Source organism: Homo sapiens, chromosome 13, assembly GCF_000001405.40.
Source record: "Homo sapiens chromosome 13, GRCh38.p14 Primary Assembly".
NCBI classification, from domain to species: Eukaryota; Metazoa; Chordata; class Mammalia; order Primates; family Hominidae; genus Homo; species Homo sapiens.
In genome coordinates this window covers 42,806,545-42,830,227 of record NC_000013.11, presented here as the reverse complement: position 1 = coordinate 42,830,227, position 23,683 = coordinate 42,806,545, and the positions used below count along the sequence as shown (strand labels likewise).

The 23,683-nt window shown below is 39.6% G+C and overlaps 1 long non-coding RNA gene across 1 annotated transcript; it reads left to right on the top strand.

Annotated features, from left to right (window-relative positions):
• Window positions 1–17,665: 17,665 nt before the first annotated feature.
• On the top strand, window positions 17,666–19,862 carry LINC01050 (long intergenic non-protein coding RNA 1050). The gene is made up of 3 exons (NR_125747.1): window positions 17,666–17,836; window positions 18,386–18,709; window positions 19,598–19,862. It is a non-coding gene; the product is annotated as a long intergenic non-protein coding RNA 1050 (long non-coding RNA).
• Window positions 19,863–23,683: the final 3,821 nt, after the last annotated feature.

Genomic DNA, 23,683 nt, shown 5'->3' with positions numbered 1-23,683 from the left:
CTGTGCTAAGCATTTGATATGATAATCTCATTAATATTACACCAATCCTAAGGGATGGGTACTTTCATTATCTATTTTACAGAAGGGGAAACTGAGGCATTACGGTGTTGTATATGTTTACCAGGGTCACAGAGATAGCATGTGTCAGAGACAGAATTTTATTCCAGGCAATTTGATTCTAGAGTCCTTATTCTATATTGCCCTCCTGTGAATCTACCATAATTTATTTAAGTCATCACCATTAATAGACTCTTATAATGCTTTCATTTCTTTAATTCATGCATTTATTTACAGAGAAACTACTTTTTGAGTGCTCACTATCTCCTATATACTGGTCTGGGTACAGGGGATTCACAGCAAAAAAAAAAAAAAACAAAAAACAAAAGCTAGATAAAATTTCCTGCCCTTGTACAGTCTCCTGGAGAAGGCAGACAAGATGAATAGGCAAAGTGTATTATATAGATAATGAGGAAAGAAATATAGCAGTGAAGAGAGATAGGAACTATTGTGGGCAGAGTGTAGGAATTTCAGACAGAGTGTTCAGGTAAGGCCTTTTTGAGAAGTAACACTTGATAAAAGACCTGAAGGAACAAGAGCACCAGCCTTGTGAATATCTGGAGGAAGAGTATTCAAGGCAGAGGGCATGGGAGGTGCAAAGGCTTTGTGGAGCAGCAAGGAGGCCAATGTGGTTGGAATGGCCTGAGCAGGGGGGATAGTGGTAGAAGATAATGTTAAAGAGGTGTAGGGCGTCAGAGCATGTAGATCTCTTGGGTCTTCTGGTACCTATTTTGGCTTTAACTCTGGGTTAGATGGAAGGATATTGAGGGGTTTTGAGAAAAGAAGGGACACAATCTCATGGCATCAAGCTGTTGAGTACAGACTGGAGGAAACAAGGGCAGAAACAGAAAGATCTGTTGGGAGGCTGTTGCCATAATCCAGATGAGAGAATATTGTGGCTTGGATGGCAGTGACAGCAGTTGAAGTGTTCTAATTCTGGAAACTTTTAAACAGTAGAGCCAACAAGATCAGATATAGAGTGTGAGATTAAAGGAATCAAGGCTGACCTCATTGTCCTTTACTGGAGAAATAGAGCATGTTATGTTTGAAAACCTATTAGCAATCCATAGGGAGCTATTGAGTGGAGAGTTGCCTATAGAATTCTGGAATTCATAGGCGAAGTCCAGGCTGGATTGTAAATGTGGAGATTGTTAGCATATAGGTGATATTTAAGGCTCTGTCCCCAAATAAAAAGACCTAGAGAATAAATGTAGACAAAGAAAAGATAAGGGCCAAGAAATAAATCCTGGGCTATGCCGACATTACAAAATGGCTGTAATGAATATTCCTGTACGTGTTAATTGTGCATACATGAAGTAATCTCTTTGGATACTTTTCTGCTTTTCTATTGAAGGATAAAAGGGCTTTTTTTTTTCTTTTTAAGTTTGTCAGTTGCTCATAAATTGCCCTCTGTATCAATCTGTACTCTCAGTTGGAAGCAACAAAAGCCCAGGCTACATTAAACAAATAATTTTCCAAAAAATTCTCTCCCACTAAGAAAATGTAGGAGTCAGTATTGATTGGAGACAAGCTTCAAAAATCAGTAAAAACCAACGGTGCTGTAAAGGCTGGGCGGCAGGGATGGTTTGATTATGATACTACTGTAGCCATTGCTGATACTGGCAGTAGATGTGGAGCTGCATGTGGCCTTGACTTGTACCATTAAATGTACAATTTCCCCGAAGGAAATTGCACGATGCCACTGTACATCAAGGAACAGCAAAGTACAGTTCCTTGATCAAATCTGGCCCTCCACCTATTTCCATAAATAAAGTTTTATTGGAACAAGACTCTCCTATTCATCTACATGTTGTTTATGACTGCTTGTACACTTCAATGGCAGAGCTGAATTATTGCAACAGAGATTCTGTGCCGCCAAAGCTGAAACTATTTACTGTCTGGCCCTTAACAGAACTTACCAGCCTCTGTAACAAATGAAGTTCAACATTTTTGTATTAGTTTGTTAGCACTACCATGCAATAGTACCACATGCTGGGTGACTTAAACAACACAAATTAACTTTCTCACAGTTCTTGAGACTAGAAGTCCAAGATCAAGGTGTGGCAGGGTTGGTTTCTTCTGAGCCTCTTTCCTTGGTGGTCTTCTCCCTGTGTCTTCATGTCTGTGGCCTAATCTCCTCTTCTTATGAAGACACAGTCATATTGGATTAGGGCCCAACCTCATGATCTCATTTTAACTTAATTACTTCTTTAAAGGCCCTATCTCTGATATAGTTACATTCTGAGAATTGGGGTTTAGAACTTCAACATATAAACTGGGTTGGGGTGGGGAGGGGACACAATTTAGTCCATAACAACATCTTTTATCTAAGATATGCTTGCCTAAAATTTGAAATCTAGGGAGGAGAATACTGTTAGTTAAGGCTATGATCTGGCCCCTACACTTCATTATAGAAGACAAGTGCACCTACCAGTTTGATTATACACCATGGGAGATTACACTGAGACAGAAAGTTAGATGTATGGTCAGTGGAAATAACAACAAAAACAAAGTATCAATTTATATCCCTACCAAAAAATTTTGGGATGCTTGTTTCCCCACAACATTGAGGAATTAACAAATAGTATTCCTAATCCGATTAAAGAAAAATGATATTTTATTAATGTTTTAATTTAAATTTCCCTAAATAATAAAGATTGAAAATTTTCTGCATGTTTAGTGGCCAACTTTATTTCTTCTGAGAATTCATATCCTGTGTATTTTTTTCCTTGGGTTGTTTATTTCATTGACATAGAAAAGAGAAGAAGCTTTTATAAATTGGACATTTAATTTTTTTACTTCATATTTTAATCTTATAGCTCTTTTTCTTCCTATATCTAGCTTTGTGGTTCCTTTTACTAGATAGAAGTTTATAATTTCTTAATTTAGTAAAATCTGTCCATTTATTCCTATATGGCATTTGGGTGGTGTGGCGACCTTCTACACCCTAATATTATGTTTTAAAATGTACTTTCTAGCACTTTTAAAAATAGTTTTCTTTTTGGTGTAGCTCATCCGTCTATCTGAGATTTAGTTTTATATATGTAAGAAGAAAATAAAACTTTAAGTTTTATAAATATATAGCCAATTGCCTTAATTTCATCTTTTAAGTAAGATAGAAATTATACAGTTTTAGATCCACCTTAATCATTAATTCTAGTACATATATATATGGGTCTGTTTCTGAAATGTGTGTGGTTTTTTTTCCTGTTGGTCAATTATGTCACTATGACACTTATTTTATTGCTGTACTTTTTATAGTATATTTAATACCTAATGTAGCAAACACTTTTCAAAACTTTCTCAGCTACCTTTTCACATATTTCTCCCTCAAATAAACATTCAAGCAACCATATTAAATTCAATTTGTAATACTATCTTGGCATTTTGGTTGGAATTGGATTGAATATAGAAATTAACATGGGAAGAATAGATATCATTGTTATATTGAATTGTCTCATTGGTGAACGTTGTATATCTCTTAATTTATTCAAGAGTTTTTTTAATATACTTTAACAAAATTTTATCTTTTTTCATATAGGTTTTATATGTTCATATTTTCATTTCTGAGTATTTTACTGTGTCTCTGCTATTATGTATATAATATTTTTCATTACACTTTCTGATTGGTTACTATTTCTATATGGGAAAGATATTGATTTTGTAAATTGGATTGCTACCAAATACGACATGCAAAGGATATGTTCCAGTTGAATTATAATCCTAAAGTTAAAAAATAAAACTACATTGTAAAATATATTTATAATATGGAGGCACTGAAGGATTTCTTAATCCAAAGAAGAAAAACAAAATTGTCAAACAAAGAATGATGAATTTGTTACATAAAAATTAAGGTTTTCAGTTCAGTGAAGGAGATAGACAAATGAGGGTTTGAAAAAAGTTCTGGCAATGTCTAAAGCAATAAGAGATTAATATTCAGAATTTATAAGGAACTGTATAAACCAACAAGGAAAAGGGCATTAACTCTAATAGAAAAATGGGCCAAGGATTTGAACTGGCTTTTTACCTAAAAGGCTATTGGGTTTATAAAAAGATGCTTAAACATATTCATAATTTTAAAAGTGCAGATTAAAATAACAACCAGTTATCACTTTTTACATCAGACAAAAGCTGGAGAGCTGTATAACATGCATGGCATATGGACAGTGGCAATGCCAGTCGACTGCCTGTGGGAGGGTGGCAGGTGCAGCTGGTCTGGAGCACAATGTGGTGCTGCTCAGTCAGATCATAGATCTTGACCTAGGCATATGGACCTTACGACTCAGCATTTCCTCTTTTTTGGTGTATATCCCAAAGAACTTATCCCACAGGCTCATAAAGGGCTATAGGAAGATTTTCATCACAGGGCTTTGATGAGAAGTTGGAGGGAATCTGGTTGTTTATTACTGGCAGTGATGGAGGCACACCATGGATTACCATCCAGCCATTCAAGGCAACAGACTGGATGACAACACATTCAGTGTTTGGTGAAAGAAGCAAAAATTTAAAATTAGTGGAATGAACTCTATAGTACAATATCATTTAAGGAAATTTAAAATATAGCCACTCAAAATAGCGCACGCTTTGCTAGAACACATAAAAATGAATGAATACATCCCAAGTAAATTGTTGCTTATTGAGGGAGAAAAGGGGAATGGGAATGAGGAATAAGCATGAAAGGGAATGAATGAATGAGTGAATCTGAAAACCTTTTAAAAACTGCAAAAAAGAAAGAATGAACAAATTTCCCCCAACGGCCATGCCAACTCTTGCAGATGATTTGGTTAGCATACTCTTTAACAAGCTTAGGATATACGACTGCAAAGCTGACTTTCCTTAATATTTGTAGATACCGAATTATCAAATGTCTCCTCCTTAGTAATTGCAGTGGTCAGAGAAGTATTGCTTTGTGGTTCTGGTAGCTCCTCGGAAGGTGTAGCTGAATTATAAATATCAGACAGCAATACTAGGAGTAAAGTCATTTTGCTTTTATATTAACCACTCTGGAGGGATGTCTTCAATCCTGGCTGATGTGGTGGCACCACTTTGACCAATACGTACTCTTAATCGGCCATCTGACTCCTGGGAGACAGGATGATTCCCTCTTTTGAGAGAGATGATATACTATTGGGGAAATCTTTCTGAAATAAGCGAGTCTCCTCTAGATAGGGTTTACAATTTAAATGGAAATGGAGGAAAGAGCTCTGTTCGATGATGATTGTAAGGAAGTCAAGACTTTTCCCCTTCATTTTGTACTCCTTTAAACAAGCTGGGCTGTTTTATTCATTATTGCTTATAGTGTCCTAGGCAGGTGTAACTGTCACATAGCAAGAGATGAACTCAACAGGGTGCAATCATAAAATAACTTTATGTTTCCTCCTGAAGTCCTTTCAAACCTACTCGATGTGCTTGTTTAAGTCCAATAGATTTTCCAGTAACTTCTAGATTATAAAAAGTCTTCGAACACTTCAAGTCACAAGGATAGTCTTCAGCAATTTGAAGAGGCAGACAGTTTAATAATACAAATTCTGAACTTCACTTAAAGTTTAAGGTTCTACCCTCCCCCAGCTCAGAACTGCTTCAGGCTGAGGAGCCAAAGATGAGGACAGAAGGCATTACCAACATCTGTATTTCCACTTGCTGCTTTATCTTTTTCTTACACCCTCTTTACTCCATCCCACTTTGCTGTCTGCCTCCTCCAGATTTGGCCTGGAGGACAAAAAAAAAAAAAAAAAAAAAAAAAAAAAAGTCAGGAATAGGAAATTTCTTCCTTCAGTGAAAAAGGTGTTATCTGGCACTGTAGATAATTCCCATGAAATTTCAACTTTTACAGCCCCTAGAAAAATAAATTCTTCCAAAGATTTTTTTAAATGATGTGAACATAACGTTGTCATTAAATACTGAAAAAGGTTGCACAAAAATAAAGCTACAAGTTTTCATTTTGATTGTGAATAGTGAAGCAATTATCCCAAATTTAAAAAATTAAACAAAATTCAGCAGCACCTTAGAAGATAAGACACATGGCCACGTGAAATGTATTTGAGTGGTGCATGTCTAGTTTGGTATAGGGAAACACAATATAACGTATTTCATCATATTAGTAGATGTGCATTGGGAATGTACAATGATCATTTCTCTAGACACTAAAAAGGCATTTCAAAAAGTTTGACATCCACTCTTTATTTTAAAATTCAATTAAATAGAAATACATAGATCCTTCGTTAGTGTGATAAAAAAATGCCCATCTCAGTCTGCAAAATAGCATCATACTTAGTGGACAAATTCTAAAAACATTTCCATTATGATCAGAAATAAGAGAATATTCACTAGCACCACTATTATTTAACATTGTTTAGACCGAGGTACTAGCTGATACAAACAGGCAAGAGAAGTATACATTGGAAAAGAGGAGGTAAAATTATCTTTTTTTTACATATGATGTAATTTTTAAACTTGGAAAACTAAAGATCAGTTGAAAAACTACTATAAACAATAAGATAATTCAGAAATATGATTGCTACCAAATTAATATAAAGACGTAATTAGCTTTTATATATATGGTCAACAACCAATTGGATGATATTATGGAAGACCCCATTTATAATAGCAATAACAAGATAAATTTCCTAGAATAAACTCAAGAAGAAATGTGCAATGTCTATAAAATAAAACTTTATAAGACCCCTGAAGTACATAAAAATAATGACTTGAACAAAGGAAAAGGTATGGGAGAGAAAGAGATGCTATATTACAAAGAAATTAATCATACCTAGGTGATGGGTTGATAGGTGCAGCAAACCACCATGGCACACATTTACCTATGTAACAAACCTGCATGTCCTGCACATGTATCCCAGAACTTAAAATAAAATAAAATTAACAACAACAGAAAAGAAGTTAAATACTTGCCAAGATAAACCCCTACATTTAGTGCAATCCCAGTGAAATAATGATAAGGAATAATTAGAGATAGACAAGCTGATTTTTCTCTACTTCATGCCATTGTTGTTTAATCTTTAATTTCAATTTTTGATCCCTCATGTTAGCCATTTTCTCATTATTTTACACAGTTAATGATTTAGATTCAGTCATCACTTACCAATGTTTTGCCAACGTTTCTTTTGTATGGCAGACCTTTCCTCTAGGATCATTTTTTTTTCTAACCAAGCATAAACTCCAGAATTTCTTTTACTGAGGGACTTTTGGTGATAAATTTTCTCTCTCTCTGTCTTAATTTTTGAGGGTATCTAGAAATGATTTATTTTCTTCTGGTTTCCATTCTCACTGTTGAGAAATCAGCTGCCAGTTTATTGCTCCTGTGTAGGTGATTTGTCTTTTTTTTCCCTTTATTTCCTTTTTAAAATGTTCCCTTTGTCTTTGATATTCTGTAGTTTTACTCTGATGAGTTTAATTGTAGATTTCTTTTTCTCTGTCCTGTATGGGATTAGTTATATTTTCTGAATCCAAGAATTCATATCCTTCATTAATTCTAGAAATTTCTCATCCATTATTTCTTCAACTATGGCCTCTTTGAACTTCTTTTTGCTTCTTCTGGAACTCCACTTAGGTCTTTTGTGTATATATATATTTTTTAATTTATCCTCCATGTCTCTGATCTTCCTTGCTCTTTCCTGCTTTTATCTCTTTTTCTCACTGTGTACCTTCTACAAAATTTCTTCAGTTCTATCCTTAAGTACCCTACTTACCTCTAATCAGCTGAGTCCTATCTACAATTTAAGGTTTCTATTGGCTTTTTACATGTTAATGATGATGATTTTTGTACATAGGGGGAAGAGTTATATTTGACTAGTTTTCAAATCTTTCTCTTCCATGATACTATGTTAATTACCAGCTCATGGTTTTAATTACTTTTTATTTCCTTAAATATTTTAAACACATTATTTTATATTCTTCATTTAATTATTCTGTGATATAAAATAACTGTGGTCTGATAGAGCTTTTTATTATTATTTTTGTTTACTCTTGTTCATGTGGCTTGTTTCCTCATATTTTCAAAACCCAAGGAAGTCTGTTTACTTACGTAAGACCATTCAGAGTAAATTTAACTTGGAATAAAATTAACTTGGAATCTTTATTCTTTCTTATCTTTCAAGTCATGAATTCTTTCTTAATTTGCATTTAATCTTCTGTTAATCCTATAAATTGAGTTAATTTCATTTGTTAATTTTTTCAAATCTAGAATTCTCTTTCTTTCAGATTTCAGTTCTCTGCTGAAATTCTCATCTTTTATCTCCTTGAACTTATAAAATGTAACTAGAAATATTTGTCAGCTGTGTTACATTGTTTTCTAGTGATCTGTTTCTATTCTGCATTATTTCCCCCTTTTTCATATTATCTTGTCTTTGTGTGTGCCTGATTTTTTTTATTGAGTGCTAGTTTTTACTTATAAAAATATAGAAATAATTTCTGGTCTCTGGCAGGAGACCAGAGGCTTTAGCCATCCCAGACCACCTTGATTTAATTTCAGGAAATAAGATGACTCAACGCTGGGCTTCAGTCCCTGTGAGGTTCAGTTTACTCATAGGTCATCCTTACTCCTAGGGTGTATTTCTTTTGTAAGTATACAAGTTTCTCCTTCTTTGGTAATCCTTGAACTGCAGCATTTGTCTGTTTATTCCACAAGGTTCTCAGAACTCTGCTCATCTTCTCAGTTGCATATTTAAATGATAGCAGACACCCCTAGAGAGAAAGCTGCCCTAAATGTGTGGCTCACGTAGCAGGCTTTTCTGTTTTCTCTAGATCTTGCTCTTTAATTCCTCATTGTTTTATTCGTTTTCTGAATATTTCAAGTGTATATTTATTATATGTTTCCTGCTTCAGTGGGAAGATCGGCTCTAATGGCCCACCTGCCATTATCAAAAAGAGAAGTTCTTATTACTTTTTAATTAAAATATTTTCTTTATTTTCTACCAGTTCTCCATCAATATTAGCAACCAGCTAATATTTCTAGTCTCCTTTGTCTGTTTCTATCTGGCTGCTGGGTCCCTTACATGCATTTTTTTTTCTTTGCCTAAATATATGTATATATATATATTTGTTTTTAATTATTACTGCCTCAACAGGTAAGCCAGGTTGTGAGCTTCTTTTTTAGAGGGCTTGGGATCCTCTTGGGATCCAACTATTTACTACTAGTAGATAAGTAGTAGAAGGCACAGCAGTTGCTACTCTTGTGAGCCATGAATAAACAAACTGGGTAAAACTAACAGCTCTCTGTTGAAGCTTGGAGATGCAGCCTCTTTACTTGCAGGTCTCTTTTGATCACAGTCATAAAGATTGAGAGCCATGTGACCCACCTGTAAGTTTCCTTTTGGTTCCACTGGGATTGGAAGGGTATCTATGGGCAAATGGGTGATGATGGCCTTCCCCCAGACGAGTCACAGGCTTCCATCAGTTAAGGCACCTCTGGGAGCCGTAACATCTCAAACTCAGCCCCTGGTATAAAGAAGAAGGAATTTCTGGATTCTCTGGGTCATTCCATAGCTCTCACCAGGCCCCGAGAGGAGCAGAGTTTAATGTTGGTTCTCTGCCTAGACTTCCTGGGAGTATACTCAGCTACAGAGGCACCTTTAGGCTGCCAGTTATTCTTTCCTAACTGTTCTTTACTCCAGAGAGGAAGTTGTTCTGAAATCCCTTCTCAGAATCTTCTTTTTCTTTCTGAATCTACTCTTACAATTCCAGCTTTTTATCTCGTAGTGAAATATGAAGAACACTGGGCTGAGTTTTTCCCCAAGAATATGATAATGATGATGATGACACCATGAGGATAACAACAACATCTACAACCACTTATTAGAAACATATTAAATAGCAGGCACTGTGCTGTATGCTATCTATACACTGCTTAATTTAGCCCCCTCAAAAATCTTATAGCAAAGTTTCATCCGTCTTTATAATTGAAAAAATTGAGCCTTAGAGAGTGAGTAACTTGCCTATGGATTATGTAGTTAGTAAGTAGCAGTGTTAGTATTTTACCATTGTAAGAGTCTTCCCTTTTTATTACTCTCATACTTTCAGATGAAAATCATGTACAAATGTTCTGATAAAGAATTATCTATTTATGTACTTATTTTTGAAATAATCCTTACAAAGTTGTTAAAAATAAATCACATTTAGTATTATATTTAACTAATCATTTAAAGACTCTCCATGTCTCCACCCAAATCTCATCTTGAATTGTAACTCCCACAGTTCTCACATGTTGTGGGAGGAACCCAGTGGGAGGTAATTGAATCATGGGACTGGGTCTTTCCTGTGCTGTTCTTGTGATAGTGAATAAGTCTCATGAGATCTGACAGTTTTAAAAATGGGAGTTTTCCTGCACAAGCTCTCTCTCTTTGCCTACTGCCATCCAGGAAGACGTGACTTGCTTCTTCTTGCCTTCCACTATGATTGTGGGAAGGCCTCCCCAGTCATGTGGAACTGTAAGTCCATTAAACCTCTTTTTCTTCCCAGTCTCAGGTATGTCTTTATCAGCAGCATGAAAATGGACTAATACAGTAAATTGGTACCAGTAGAGGGGGGTGCTGCTGGAAAGATACCTGAAAATGTGGAAGCAACTTTGGAACTGGGTAACAGGCAGAGATTGGAACAGTTTGGAGGGTTCAGAAGAAGACAGGAATATGTGGAAAAGTTTGGAACTTCCTAGAGGCTTGTTGAATGGCTTTGCTCAAAATGCTGATAGTGATATGGACAATAAAGTCCAGACTGAGGTGGTTTCAGATGGAAATGAGGAACTTGTTGGAAACTGGAGCAAAGGTGACTCTCATTATGTTTTAGCAAAGAGACTGGTGGCATTTTGCCCCTGCTCTAGAGACTTGTGGAACTTTGAACTTGAGAGAGATGATTTAGGGAATCTGGTGGAAGAAATTTCTAAGCAGTAAAGCATTCAAAAGGTGACTTGGGTGCTGTTAAAGGCATTCAGGTTTATAAGGGAAGCAGAGCATAAAAGTTTGGAAAATTTGCAGCCTGACAATGTGATAGAAAACAAAATCCCATTTTTCTGAGAAGAAATTCAAGCTGGTTGCAGAAATTTGCATAAGTAATGAGAAGTCGAATGTTAATCCTCAAGACAATGGGGAAAATGTCCTCAGGGCATGTCAGAGTTCTTCACAGCAGCCCCTCCCATCACAGGCCCAGAGGCCTAGGAGGAAAAAGTGGTTTTGTTGGCTGGGTCCAGGGTCCCCATGCTGTGTGCAGCCTAGGGACTTGGTGCCCTGCATCCCAGCTGCTTCAGCCATGGCTGAAAGGGGCGAATGTAGAACGTGGGTTGTGGCTTCAGAGGGTGCAAGCCTTGGCAGCTTCCACATGGTATTAAGCCTGCCAGTCCACAGAAGTCAGGAATTAGAGTTTGGAAACCTCTGCCTAGATTTCAAAGGATGTATGGAAATGCCTGGATGTCCAGGCAAAAGTTTGCAGCAGGGGCAGGGATCTCATGGAGACCCTCTGCTAGAGCAGTGCAGAAGGGAAATCTGGGGTCAGAGCTCCCACACAGAGTCCCTGCTGGCGCACTGCCTAGTGGAGTGGGCACTGTGAGCAGAGGGCCACTATCTTCCAGACCCCAGAATGGTAGATCCACTGACAGCTTGCACCATGTGACTGGAAAAGCCACAGACTATCAACGCCAGCCTGTGAAAGCAGCTGGGAGAGAGGCTGTACCCTGCAAAACCACAGGGGCGGAGCTACCCAAGACCATGGGAACCCATCTCTTGCATCAGTGTGACCTGGAAATGAGACACAGACTCAAAGGAGATCATTTTGGAGAATTAAGATTTGAGTGACCAGCTGGATTTCAGGTTTGCATGGGGCCTGTAGCCCCTTTGTTTGGGCCAATTTCTCCCAGTTGGAATATCTGTATTTAACCAATACCTGTACCCTCATTGTATCTAGGAAGTAACTAAGTTGCTTTTGGTTCTACAGGCTCATAGGTGGAAGGGACTTGCCTTGTCTTGAGTGAGACATTGGACTGTCGACTCTTAAGTTAATGCTGACATGAGTTAAGACTTTGGGAGACTGTTGGGAAGGCATGATTGGTTTTGAAATGTGAGGACATGAGATTTGGAGGGGACAGGGGTGGAATTATATGGTTTGGCTGTGTCCTCACCCAAATCTCATCTTGAATTCCCACATGTTGTGGGAGTGACCCAGTGGGAGGTAATTGAATCATGGGACTGGGTCTTTCCCGTGCTGTTCTTGTGATAGTGAATAAGTCTCATGAGATCTGACAGTTTTAAAAATGGGAGTTTCCCCTGCACAAGCTCTCTCTTCTCTTTGCCTGCTGCCATCCATGTAAGATGGGACTTGCTCTTCCTTGCCTTCCACCATGATTGTGAGTCCTGCCCAGCCATGTGGATCCATGAATCCATCAAACCTCTTTTTCTTCCCAGTCTTGGGTATGTCTTTATCAGCAGCATGAAAACTACTATTATTTACCTATTTTTCAGACTCAAAGTCTAAAATGTAAAGATATTCTTGAAAATTTGCCATCCATTATTGCAAGACTTTTAATTTCTTTCCTGCCACTACTTAACTGTAGAAACTTGAGAAAATTACATGACATTTCTATAGGTCTCAGTCTCTCAACTGTGCCATGAAAGAGTTGGCTTAGATTACCTCTAGGCCTCCTTGAGATTAAAGATGGTTTTGCATTATTAAAAACATTATATAAATCAAATGATTTTTTTTTTTTTTGAAATGAAGTCTCTCTCTTGTCGCCCAGTCTGGAATGCAGTGGCACGATCTTGGTTTAATGCCAGCTCCATTTCCTGGGTTCAAGCAATTCTCCTGCCTCAGCCTCCCGAGTAGCTGGGATTACAGGAGCCTGTGTTGTAAACTCTTTATTTAAGTAGAATTGCCCCCTCTATTTTTAAATCAAATTGTCATTTTTAAAAAATCTATGTGGTTTGCTTTAAACATGATATACGTTTTCTTACATAGATAAAGGTAGATTTCAGATGTTGGGAAAAATGTGTGTGGCAGACACTATTAGCTGCTCTCCTTCTGTCTGTCCATTTCCTCTCAATCTCATTAATAGAAACTAATTTAGTTCAGCATGGCCATGTGCCCAGCTGAAAATTATAGCTTCATCATCACACATCAGAAAGATGAGCATGTGGCACAGTCCTGGCCAGTGAAATATAAAGTGACAGCTTCTGGGAAGTGATTGCTTTCCTGATTTCAATACCACCCCTTCCTCCCTGCCCACTGTTCCTTCTTCCTCCCTGGACAAATGGTTTAGGGGACCGGCTGCCATCTTGTAACAAAGCAGACAAAAGCTACACGCAAAGGATGGCAGAGCAGAAAGAAGACCTTGATGGTATCACTGACAGTCTGGAGAGTCTACTTCTAGATTTTTCTGTCATGATTGAATAAACTGCCATATTTTCTGTCACCAGTAGGGGTTTTGTTACCAATATGTTCATAACTGATTCAGCAGGTATTGATTTTAGTCCACAACAGTAGAGTGAGATAAAAGCACATTTCCCTTTTTGTTCTCAATCAAATTTAATCTTCCTGACTGTCCACATATTTGGTTGGTGGGACATTCATCCTCTGTCATTCCTGTGCTTTTCTGTCTTCTCAAGATTTCTAGATTTGGGGGTGGGGGAGGTTGCTTAAAAACACAATAATGGAGAAAATGCCAGATATTTGGTTCACAGTGGCTGCACTCACTCAACATTTATTTATGAATTTTCCAGGGGCAGTATAAAGAATGGGAATACACAATGAAAATACCTTTAGCTCCAAGTGTGTGGTCAAGGCTTGTTCCTCTGGCTTTGGTTGGGCTGCAGACAAACTCAGACACGACCCACCAGGGCCATCAGCTCCATCAACTACAAACCTACCCCTGGAATTCTAGGCCCCCGGGTTCCTAACCAGAGTCCCAGGTTCAGGCACCCTGTAGTCTCCCATCTGGGTACCACTTGGTCTCTCCTACTGGTGGAAACCTGCAAAATCCCATCCCTACTCTTGGTCTTAGGACTCTTAACTTTCCCTGGGGTCCAGGAGCGCCTGCTTTATCTACTTTGAACAGTCCCTGCAACTCCTCCCTTTACGAAGGGATCTGTCTTACTTTTCAAGATCACAGCCAGTACTTTTATTCTATCTCAGTTATACAGATGAGAAAACTGAGGCACAGAGACCAAGGGTAAAGTCACCCAGCTAGTAAGTAGCAGAGACAGGATTTGGGTGCAGATGTCTTGGCTCCAGACCCAGTTGCTAACCACTGTATTGTGCTACTCTCTTCCTGCAACACAAAAGCTCCTTACTTTCTGCTTGGGTATGGGTAAACACATCGCAACTTATAAAAATACAGTGCTGACCTTTTTCTGGGTGAGACGTGGGAAGGGGTGTTAACTCCCAGTTGGTACTTTCCTTGATAACTCACTCTGTTTTGTATCCAATTAAGAAAAATACGTTGCTTTTAAACAATGCACTAACTTAAGCTTCCTATGTCTCAGTTTTCTCATATTAAATTGGGAATAGACATTTCTATGATGACTTTTCCTCTGTATTTTACCTCATCAAGATTCAGTGATAGGAAAAATAGGGTATTAACTAAGAAGGTTTTTGAAATCTTCAGGTAAAAAAAATGTGGTATTTTAACAAGAAAATTGATACAACAGCAGATACTACAACTGGTAAAATGAATTTTAACTTTGGTGTCCCTAGATGCTCCCTATTCAGTTCTTAGTAAATATATTTCAATCTAGAAGAAAATTGGGACCCTGCCAACTAGTATTAATGCTTGCTTGCCTATTAATTGAAGCACACTTTTGGAAAATGTTGTATGTATCTGGGGAAATATAATGCATTCAGCATAAGAATAAATCTTTTTTTTGAGAGAGCTAGACCTAGAGATTTTCCTCACTTTTCAGTCATGCCACAATCTTTCTGGTTTATCAGCAACTTTTTCTCTGCTAAGCAGTGATGGTAATGCATACATTTGCCTTTTTCAGTAAATCATCCTTTTATAATTTGGCTTTCTTTCAATCTTAGATTCCCATCAGAAGGGTTTTACCTCAAGGCATATTGCAACCAATTTCCCCCATAATTAATGCCATATCTGCCTCAGAGTCCATTTCAATTCCCAAATGAAAATTGATGAGGCAGCCAACCACAAATAAGGATCACATAGCACTGATTAAACTATCAGACTAGTTTCCAGGCTATCATGTTACAGTGCTGAATCATAAGCAGAGGGTGAGTTTTCTGGTCTTTTGCAATGTATATTGCTCATAGTAAGTGTCCATAAATGGCTCTTAGCAGATGAAGAGAAGCATTTTATATGGCCCCTATCAAATTCTACCAGAAAGACTAATGATTAAAGAGGTTTGTGTTACAGGAACCAAGACTTCATAGCACATGAAAGAAAATTGTATCTAGACTTGATAAAAATGAGCCACAAACTGCTACAAAAATCACCAGGACAAGAAAAACTCACTTAGGTGTTTTTATCCCATCCACATGGAGTGTGAATGGTTAAGTCAGGTAACTGCATTTTGCCTAGGAAGACCAAATCCTCTCTCCACCAGCCTTCAATTTCAGACTCCAGCAGGGAGCTGAATTGGAGGTGGATGTGCGTAGCAACTATGCACCAGTCAGTAGCAAGAATTCATTCCTTCATCCCATTCATTCATTCATTCATTCACTCACTTAATATTTATTTACCTATTTTCCAGGTGCTGTGTGAAGAATGGAAACATGCAACAATAAAGACACCAGTCCTGGTGGACCTGATGGCCTATGTCTGGTGTGGCGGGGGACAGATAAGTAAACAGATCGTCCTATACGGGGTAGCCAACGCTATCATCTGATAGAAGTAAGCATGAGGTACCAGTCAAGTATGCAAGTATCTGTGCATGAGATGCTAGTCAAGTATTTGTGTGTGCATGTTTGAAGGCTTCCTGGAAGAGATCACTGAAACTCTAAGAGTAGGTAGCCAGGTTAAGAATGGGGGCAGAGCAGGATATCTGAGGCAGTGGAAGCAATTTGAGCAATGTGTGGAGTGGAGAGAGAACCTGACTTGTTTGATAAGCTTGGAAGGTTAAGCATAGCTAGAACAGGGTATTGGAAGAGTTTTATAGAGGAAAAGATGACTAGAGGTAGGCTGCCAGATGTTCTCTCCCAAAATATTTGACCATCAGTGTAGCAGGGCAGATATTAGTGTGATTATGAAAACATATATGTGTGTGTGTATATACATATGTATGTATATTTAAATGCATTACATATTTCAATCAGTGATATGTGTTTTTCTAGGTATCTTTTTGGCATATTTTTAAGAAACACATTTCGAAAATTAAATGTAGGTGTGAACCCTTCGCCACACCCAAAGAACCATTCTTGACACTCATGCAGAACATTTTATGCCCCAGTTTGAATATCTGACTTTGGTTTATCTCACTGATACCTGTAGCCCCTCCAAAGTAGTGGTAGACAGAGCTGAGACAAGAAATTTCACAGCTTTTTCCTATTGTGGAACAAACAATCTGAGTTTAAAACATATTGACTTACTGAATTAAAGTAAGTCACTCCACCTCTTAAAGACTCAGTCACACATCCAATTTTCCAGGGGCCTGTGGCCACTGAGTGTCACAGAGTGTGGAAGGCTGTAGGGGCCAGTCCAGAGGAGAGACCACATGGCCTGATTGCCCAGTAGAAATTGATATTCACAAAAGAATGCTGGCTCAAAAAAATAAATTGAAAAAAAAAAAAAAACCCCAGCAACACAGTGAACAGGTGGCTTAGTATGGCTGGCCGTGCTTGCACTTTTTAATGACCTGATTTGTTTCCAAAATTTGTTTTAGGTAATGTATTAGTCTGTTCTCATGCTGCTGTAAAGAACTACCCAAGACTGGGTAATTTATAAAGAAAAGAGGTTTGATTGACTCACAGTTCCACAGGCTGTACAGGAGGCATGGCTTGGGAAGCCTCGAGAAATTTACAATCATGGCGGAAGGCAAAGGGGAAGCCAGCATGTCTCACATGGCAGGAGCAGGAGGAATAGAGAGCAGGAGGAGGTGCTACACATTTCAAAAAGCCAGATCTCATGAGAACTCACTCACTATCATGAGAACAGCAAGGGGGAAGTCCGCCCCCATGATCCAGTCACCTCCCACCAGACCCCTCCTCCAACACTGGGATTACAATTTGACATGTGATTTGGGTGGGGACACAGGGTCAAACCATATCAGGTAACAAAACTCCAGTCTCAAAAATGGTAAGTCAATTTTATTGCTATTATAATTCTTAAAACTGGTGTTGATGATGATGATGATAGCAGTTATTTGTACAGTAACATGCCCAAGACAAATCCCAAGAGAGGAACATAAACAAAATCAAGTGGGGAGATTTGACTTTGCCCAAGTTCTTCTCAACTAGAAATTTCTAAAGGTGTTTTGTGTGGAGTGCTGCGCTATGTGCAGTTTTCAGCTATTCAACCTCAAGGATGTCAAATTGTTGGAAGAGATTCAAAGAAGGATAATCAAACTTGGATGGAGCTGACTTAAAGAAATGGGCTAACCTCCAGAAAGAATGCCATTGAATCCAGAGAGAGGTGCCGTTGAATCAGCCCTTGCTGATGAAGCCTCTTCACTGTACTGCTCAGACCTCTCCATCCTGGTGGCAAGGGCTTAGACCATTATTCATGGTCTGACTGGCCTCGAGGTGGCTGTCTCGCCTTTGAAAAAGGGCAGACACAGAGCATGTTCAGAGCACGGAGCCATACTGTGCGATTTCTTCAAAGAGAGCTTAACCACAGGTTTGTCACAGACTCCTCTTGCTCCTTCCTTCCAATTTAGTCCTTAAATGTGGTCCAACTACAACAAGAGGGAAGTCTCACAATCTAGAATATTGGGGGTTTTGTCACTATTCATTTTTATTAATAGAAAACAAACCTTTATTCCAAATTTGTTATACTTGAAATTGCTAATTTAAAAAAATGAATTTAGGGCTGAGGTGGGAGGATCATTTGAGGCCAGGAGTTCGAGACCAGTCTGGACAACATAGTGAGACCCTGTCTCTAAAAACACTGGAAAAACAGTTAGCTGGGTATGGTGGCAGGTGCCTGTAGTCCCAGCTACTCAGGAGGCTGAGGCAGGAGGATCACTTGAGCCTAGGAGTTGAAGGCTGCAGTGAGCTATGATAGTGCCTCTGCACTCCAGCCTGGGTGACAGAGCAAGAAACTGTCTCCAAAACAAATATATTGAATTGAAAATAATCACGTAATAATCTTGCTTTGACTAAGACAATGAAACTGTGGCTTTTAAAAAAAAAGTATTTTAGCACCATATGCTCATTTGTCTTTCAGAATTTGGATTAATGAATGACGTAACTGCTTCAGGGCAACACACCCTCACTGCAGCTGCTTAGCCCAGGAAGCAGCAAGGTCAATACAAGGAGAGCCACAGGCCTGGGGAGATGCATGCCTTCCTTCCTGGCCACGTGGATCTCACTACTTAGCCCAGATGGCCTGCGAGAAGGACAAAGCCAAGCACTTCACAACACTGTCAGTTGCTGTCCTGAAGAAGGTGGCCAGGAGCTCTAGAAGGATTCAAAGCCCCAGGGATTTTTGGTTTTTATGTATACACTTCTCTTTACATACTTGTTCCTCAACATCCAATCAGCCTTGCAGGTTTGTCCCCGCTCCTAGCATTCAGAAACACTCAAGAGCAGGGTGGGTCAGAGCTCTCCACCACATACGCAGCAGAGTGAAAGAAGCTGCCCTGCAGGACAGCTCCAGGCTCATGGCCACCCCTCCTCACATGCATACCTCCTCCTCTTCCACCAAACAACAACAAACTCCTTCATGTAGCATTCACGCCCTCCTCTTGTGGCCTCTACCTGCCATCCCACACCAATCCCTTTTTATGTCCCCACAGGTACCCAGGAGTCTCCCCTAACTAAATTCCCCACTGCTTCTCCAAATCACCCCAATCCTACTTCCCACTGAAACTAACAAGAAGGGAAGGAAGGTGTTAACAAATGAAGTCTTCGAAGGAAGTCACCCCAAGAATCTGGGCCTACTAGTCATTCCCTAAGGCTCAGCTCTTGGCATTTGCTTCGTTCCCTGGGCCATTATTTTCATACTGTGAAGAAATTTCACCCTAGTCCCATTTTGGAGAGCAAGTGTTGGTACAGTGCTGGGTAAAGACCCTGACACCAGGTCCTGGTCCCTGGCCCAGAGCAGGGGATATGAAGGGAAGCCCCACTCACTGTGTGCTCCCTCACTGACTCCTCAAAGGAATTCCAGGAAGGGTGCTTTAGTGACCCTTTGGCTCACAGAGTTAGAGTGACCTGCCCAAGGCCACCCAGAGAATGAATGGTGGGACTGAGATCACACCTGGGCCTGCCTGGCTGCCAAGCCTTTTGCTATTTTCATTATTCCACATTTCTTTCCAAGGATACAGAAAGCAGGGATAGGAAGTGCTGTGGAAACAAGCAAAAAGCCTTATCCATAGTCAGCATCCAAAAAGTACTATACCTTCTCTGACCCCTGCTTTATTTATTTGTTTATTTTCAGGGATGATGTAATAGCCAGAAAAATAAGTGAACAGAAGATTCCGGGTTCTACTTTATGCCAATTTTTCTTAAATATCTCAGTCACTAGAAAAAGATCTATTTGAAAATCTTGCTCTGAGCAGTTTCTGTCTTGGGCCCAGTTGTTTGAGGAGCCTGTTGAATTTTTAAATTTATTAGTGTTCCCATGCTTCATTCATTGGCATATATGTATATTCTCTATACTTTATAATTACAAGTAAGCTCTTGATAATAAAAAGTAACTGTCATTCTGTGAAGCTCTTTAATGCAGCCAAAGATAATTTCAGGGGGCAATTGGCAGTCTAAGTCCTTGCTTTCTCTCATTTTAAAGGAGAACCAAATCAACTTAGAGTGAATTTGTTCAAATGTGGGTAAGATTTAACAGGCACTTCAGCTGCCCAGGGTACTTTTCCATGTCTCTCCAACCAACCCCACCCAAATAGCTTAGGATTGGCATTTTCTGATGAGCACAGGGATAGAGAATGAGAACGGAGTCAGGTCCTCAGGTATTCAAGGTTAGAATTCCTTCTTAACCTTGCCCACTATGCCCTATGTGGGGACATGCTACAGCAGAGATCACTTGAGAATTATCCTGTGGCTCACACTGCCATAATTAGTTATCTGTTCGGCACCTCTCAACTAATCAGAACAATGGCACATCCAAAAGTAAAAGGAGAAGAAAGGAGACAAGAATACAGCGACTGAATAATAAAATGGGTGAATCAGTTAGCAGAGCAAAAGACAGCACAGTCATAGGCTGGCTAAGGTTATACTTTTTGTTTTTTATTTTATTTTTTAGGCAGAGCAAGACAGTCTTGCTCTGTCACCCAGGCATAAGTGCAGTGGCATGATCTCTGCTCACTGCAACCTCTGCCTCCCGAGTTCAAGTGATTCTCATGTTTCAACCTCCTGAGTAGCTGGGATTACAGGTGTGCGTAACCACGCCTGGCTAATTTTTGAATTTTTAGTAGAGACGGGGTTTCACCATGTTGACCAGGCTGGTCTCGAACTCCTGACCTCAAGTGATCCACCCGCGTCAGCTTCTGAAAGTGCTGGGATTACAGGCATGAGCCACCGCACCTGGCTAGCTTTATTATTAAGCCCTGTCAGCACCCACAAAGAGAAGTACTGGGATGGCACAGACAGCGGAGACAGTGACAAAGACCAAGGTTAAGGCTGGAGTTATGTGGAAAAAGAAAATGGAATGAGACCAAGCAATTGGGGATGAAGAATAAAAAGCAGAACCAGTGACAGCAGGGAGCAGAGATCAGAAGGAACAAGAAGATACTCTGGAAGAATACAACCAAACAAGAAAAAGAATGAATTGTATGTGAACATTGAGTTTAGGGGCAAGCTGACTGTCTTAGCCAGTTCAGGCTGCTGTAACAAAACACCAAAAACTGGGTAGCTTTTAAAACAGAAATGTATTGCTCACAGTTCTGGGGGCTGGGAAGGTTAAGATGAAGCTGCTAGCACATTCAGCATCTGTTGAAGACCTGGTTCACTGATGGCGCCTTCTAGCTGTGTCCTCACATAGTGAAAGGGGGTGAATGAGCTCCATTGGGCCTCTTTTATTAGGACAATAATCCCACTCATGAAGGTTCATGATCTTATCACCTCCCCCAAAGCCCCACCTCCTAATACCATCGCTTGGGAGTTGAGGATTTCAACGTATGAATTTTGGGAAGGACACAAACATTTAGATTATAGCACCAGCTTACAAATCTCAATGGCTCCTGAGGTTGGCATCACGGGATTATAGAAAAGCACCATAACTGAGGCTTAGCATGAGGCTGAGTCATAAAGAGCATTTAAAGTCATGAATGTGTTATATATGGAAGACCACAGAGATGTGTCATAAGTTTTAGATGGATTTTGATACAGTATAGTTGAAATTTAGATTTTATCAGTAAAAGCCTAAGCATTGAGCTATTTGCAAGGATAACCAGTTTCCAACCATCCCAGATAACTAAAGGATAGTCAAAAAATCACTATCCAAAGGCTATTGTTGTTTCCAAAGGCACAGAGATGTAAAAGTGGGGCCACCTTAAGAAAAAGACATGGATTCCTATTGCTGGATCAGAGGGTCCAGGGGGAGGGGTGGAGGTGGTGTGGAATCGCAAAGCTCGGGAGACACTGAATGCATTGAAACAAGGGTGTGTCTTGAGCTACTTACGTTTTGGAAATACAATACTGGCAGGATACTATAGGAGACTGCAGTGGGAGAAAAATTGTCCGCAGGACCAAGAATAAGGTAAGGCAAGTGAGGTGCTTATCTCTGATGTAAAATTTAAGGAAGTGCTAAAACCCCAAGTTATTAATAATAAATAATATTTTAATGCAATATTTTTAGAAATAAATATGTGTGCACAAAATACATGATGAACAAAATATCAAAAAAATTTTATTATTAAAATATCAAAAATTTAAATCAAGACAGACTCAGCAGTGACAAAGGCAATATCCAGGAGAGGCTGGATGACTCAGAGAGATGTTTAAGAGGAAGGATTAAGTAACTGATCAAATGTTGCTGGAACAGTGAAACCGGGGAGACATGGGAGTCAAGGACAAAGCCCAAGTTTATGACTCAGGGGGACCTGCCAGTCACCAGCGTAGGGCAGTCAGAGAAGAGGTAGATTTACAGGAGGATGCGGGTGAGATCTGCCGTGAGTTTGTCACATTTGAGGTGTGCATGGGATATCAAAGGGGAGGAAATCTAGCCAGTGACAGGGCATATGGACCTAGCACTCAGTAGAGAAGTCTGGGCTGGCCATAAAGGGTGGGGATTTCTCACATGTAGGTGCTGCTGGGAGCTGTGTGTGTAGGTGAGCCTGACCAAAGAGCGAGTGTGTAGAGAAAAGACAACGGTACCGAACATAATAAAAAGTAGTAATAACATTGATTGAGGCTTACTCTGCACTAGCCATTCTGCTGAGTAGTTTATAAACATTATCTAATGATCCTCACAACAACTTAAAAGGTCTGTGTTATCATTAGCCCCATTTTCCAGTTGAGGAAATGGGCAGTTAGAGAGGTTAAGTAAGCCAGGATTTGAGCTCAGCAAATAAATAACAAAACCAAGCTACAAACTCAGGAAGCCTGAAGAGAGGAGGGAGGCAGCCGGGCTCTGGAGAGTGAGGCCCAGGATGTGGATTCTAGCTTCGTGGTTTATGGGGTGTGTGGTCTTGGCCAGCACTCATGTTCTCCTGGAGCCTCTGTGTCTTCATCTGTAAGATGAGGAGGAGATACAAATCTTACATGATTGTTGTGAGGGTGAGATGGGAAAGGTGAAGTGTCTGATGCATGGTAGGTGCTCAAGATGAGCTGGTACCTAGTGCAGTCATTAGGAATGCCCCAGTGTCATGCAAACATTTAAAGGGACTGAGTGAAGAGGACACTGGGAAAGAGAATATGATGGAGAGGTAAGAGGAGACCCTCTCTGAGAGATGGAATCAAAGGAAGGAAGGGGGGTGGGCACAACAGTTTGGTTTCGTTGCTAGATAGTGATGTCCTTAGCAGAAGCACCGGAAATGCAGTGGAGCAGTGGGGCATGAATTGATGGTTAGGAAAGAGAGCTAATGAGTGCTAACAATGCTTCCCAAAAGCTTGGCTCAGAAGGGAAAGAAAGGGAGGGATGTTGCTTGAGGGAGACACAGAGATCAGGCAGAGCTCTCTTTTCACCCACAAACGCTCCACAATGGGAGAACTTACAACATTTTTTTCCTCCCTGAGAGAAGTTCATGGAGAGTGAAAAAAAAAAAAACACCTGATCTAAAAATAATGATGACTTGCCACTTACAATAATTTAACATATTTTAAAGTACTTTTACATCTAATGTGACGTGGAGCCTTCAGAACAATCTTATGGAGTAGACTAGGCAGGTAGCATCCCCAATTCATAGATACTGAAATGAAGACTCAGGAGAAGATTGGAGATTCAAAGATGATCAATGTGGAAAGATTAAGAGACTCCCTCCTCACTGCAGCTGGTGTGCAGAGTTGAGGTAATGGGCAGATTCCAGAATAGCCATGAAGGGGCTGTGTCTGCAAGAGAGAGTTACTAGCGGAG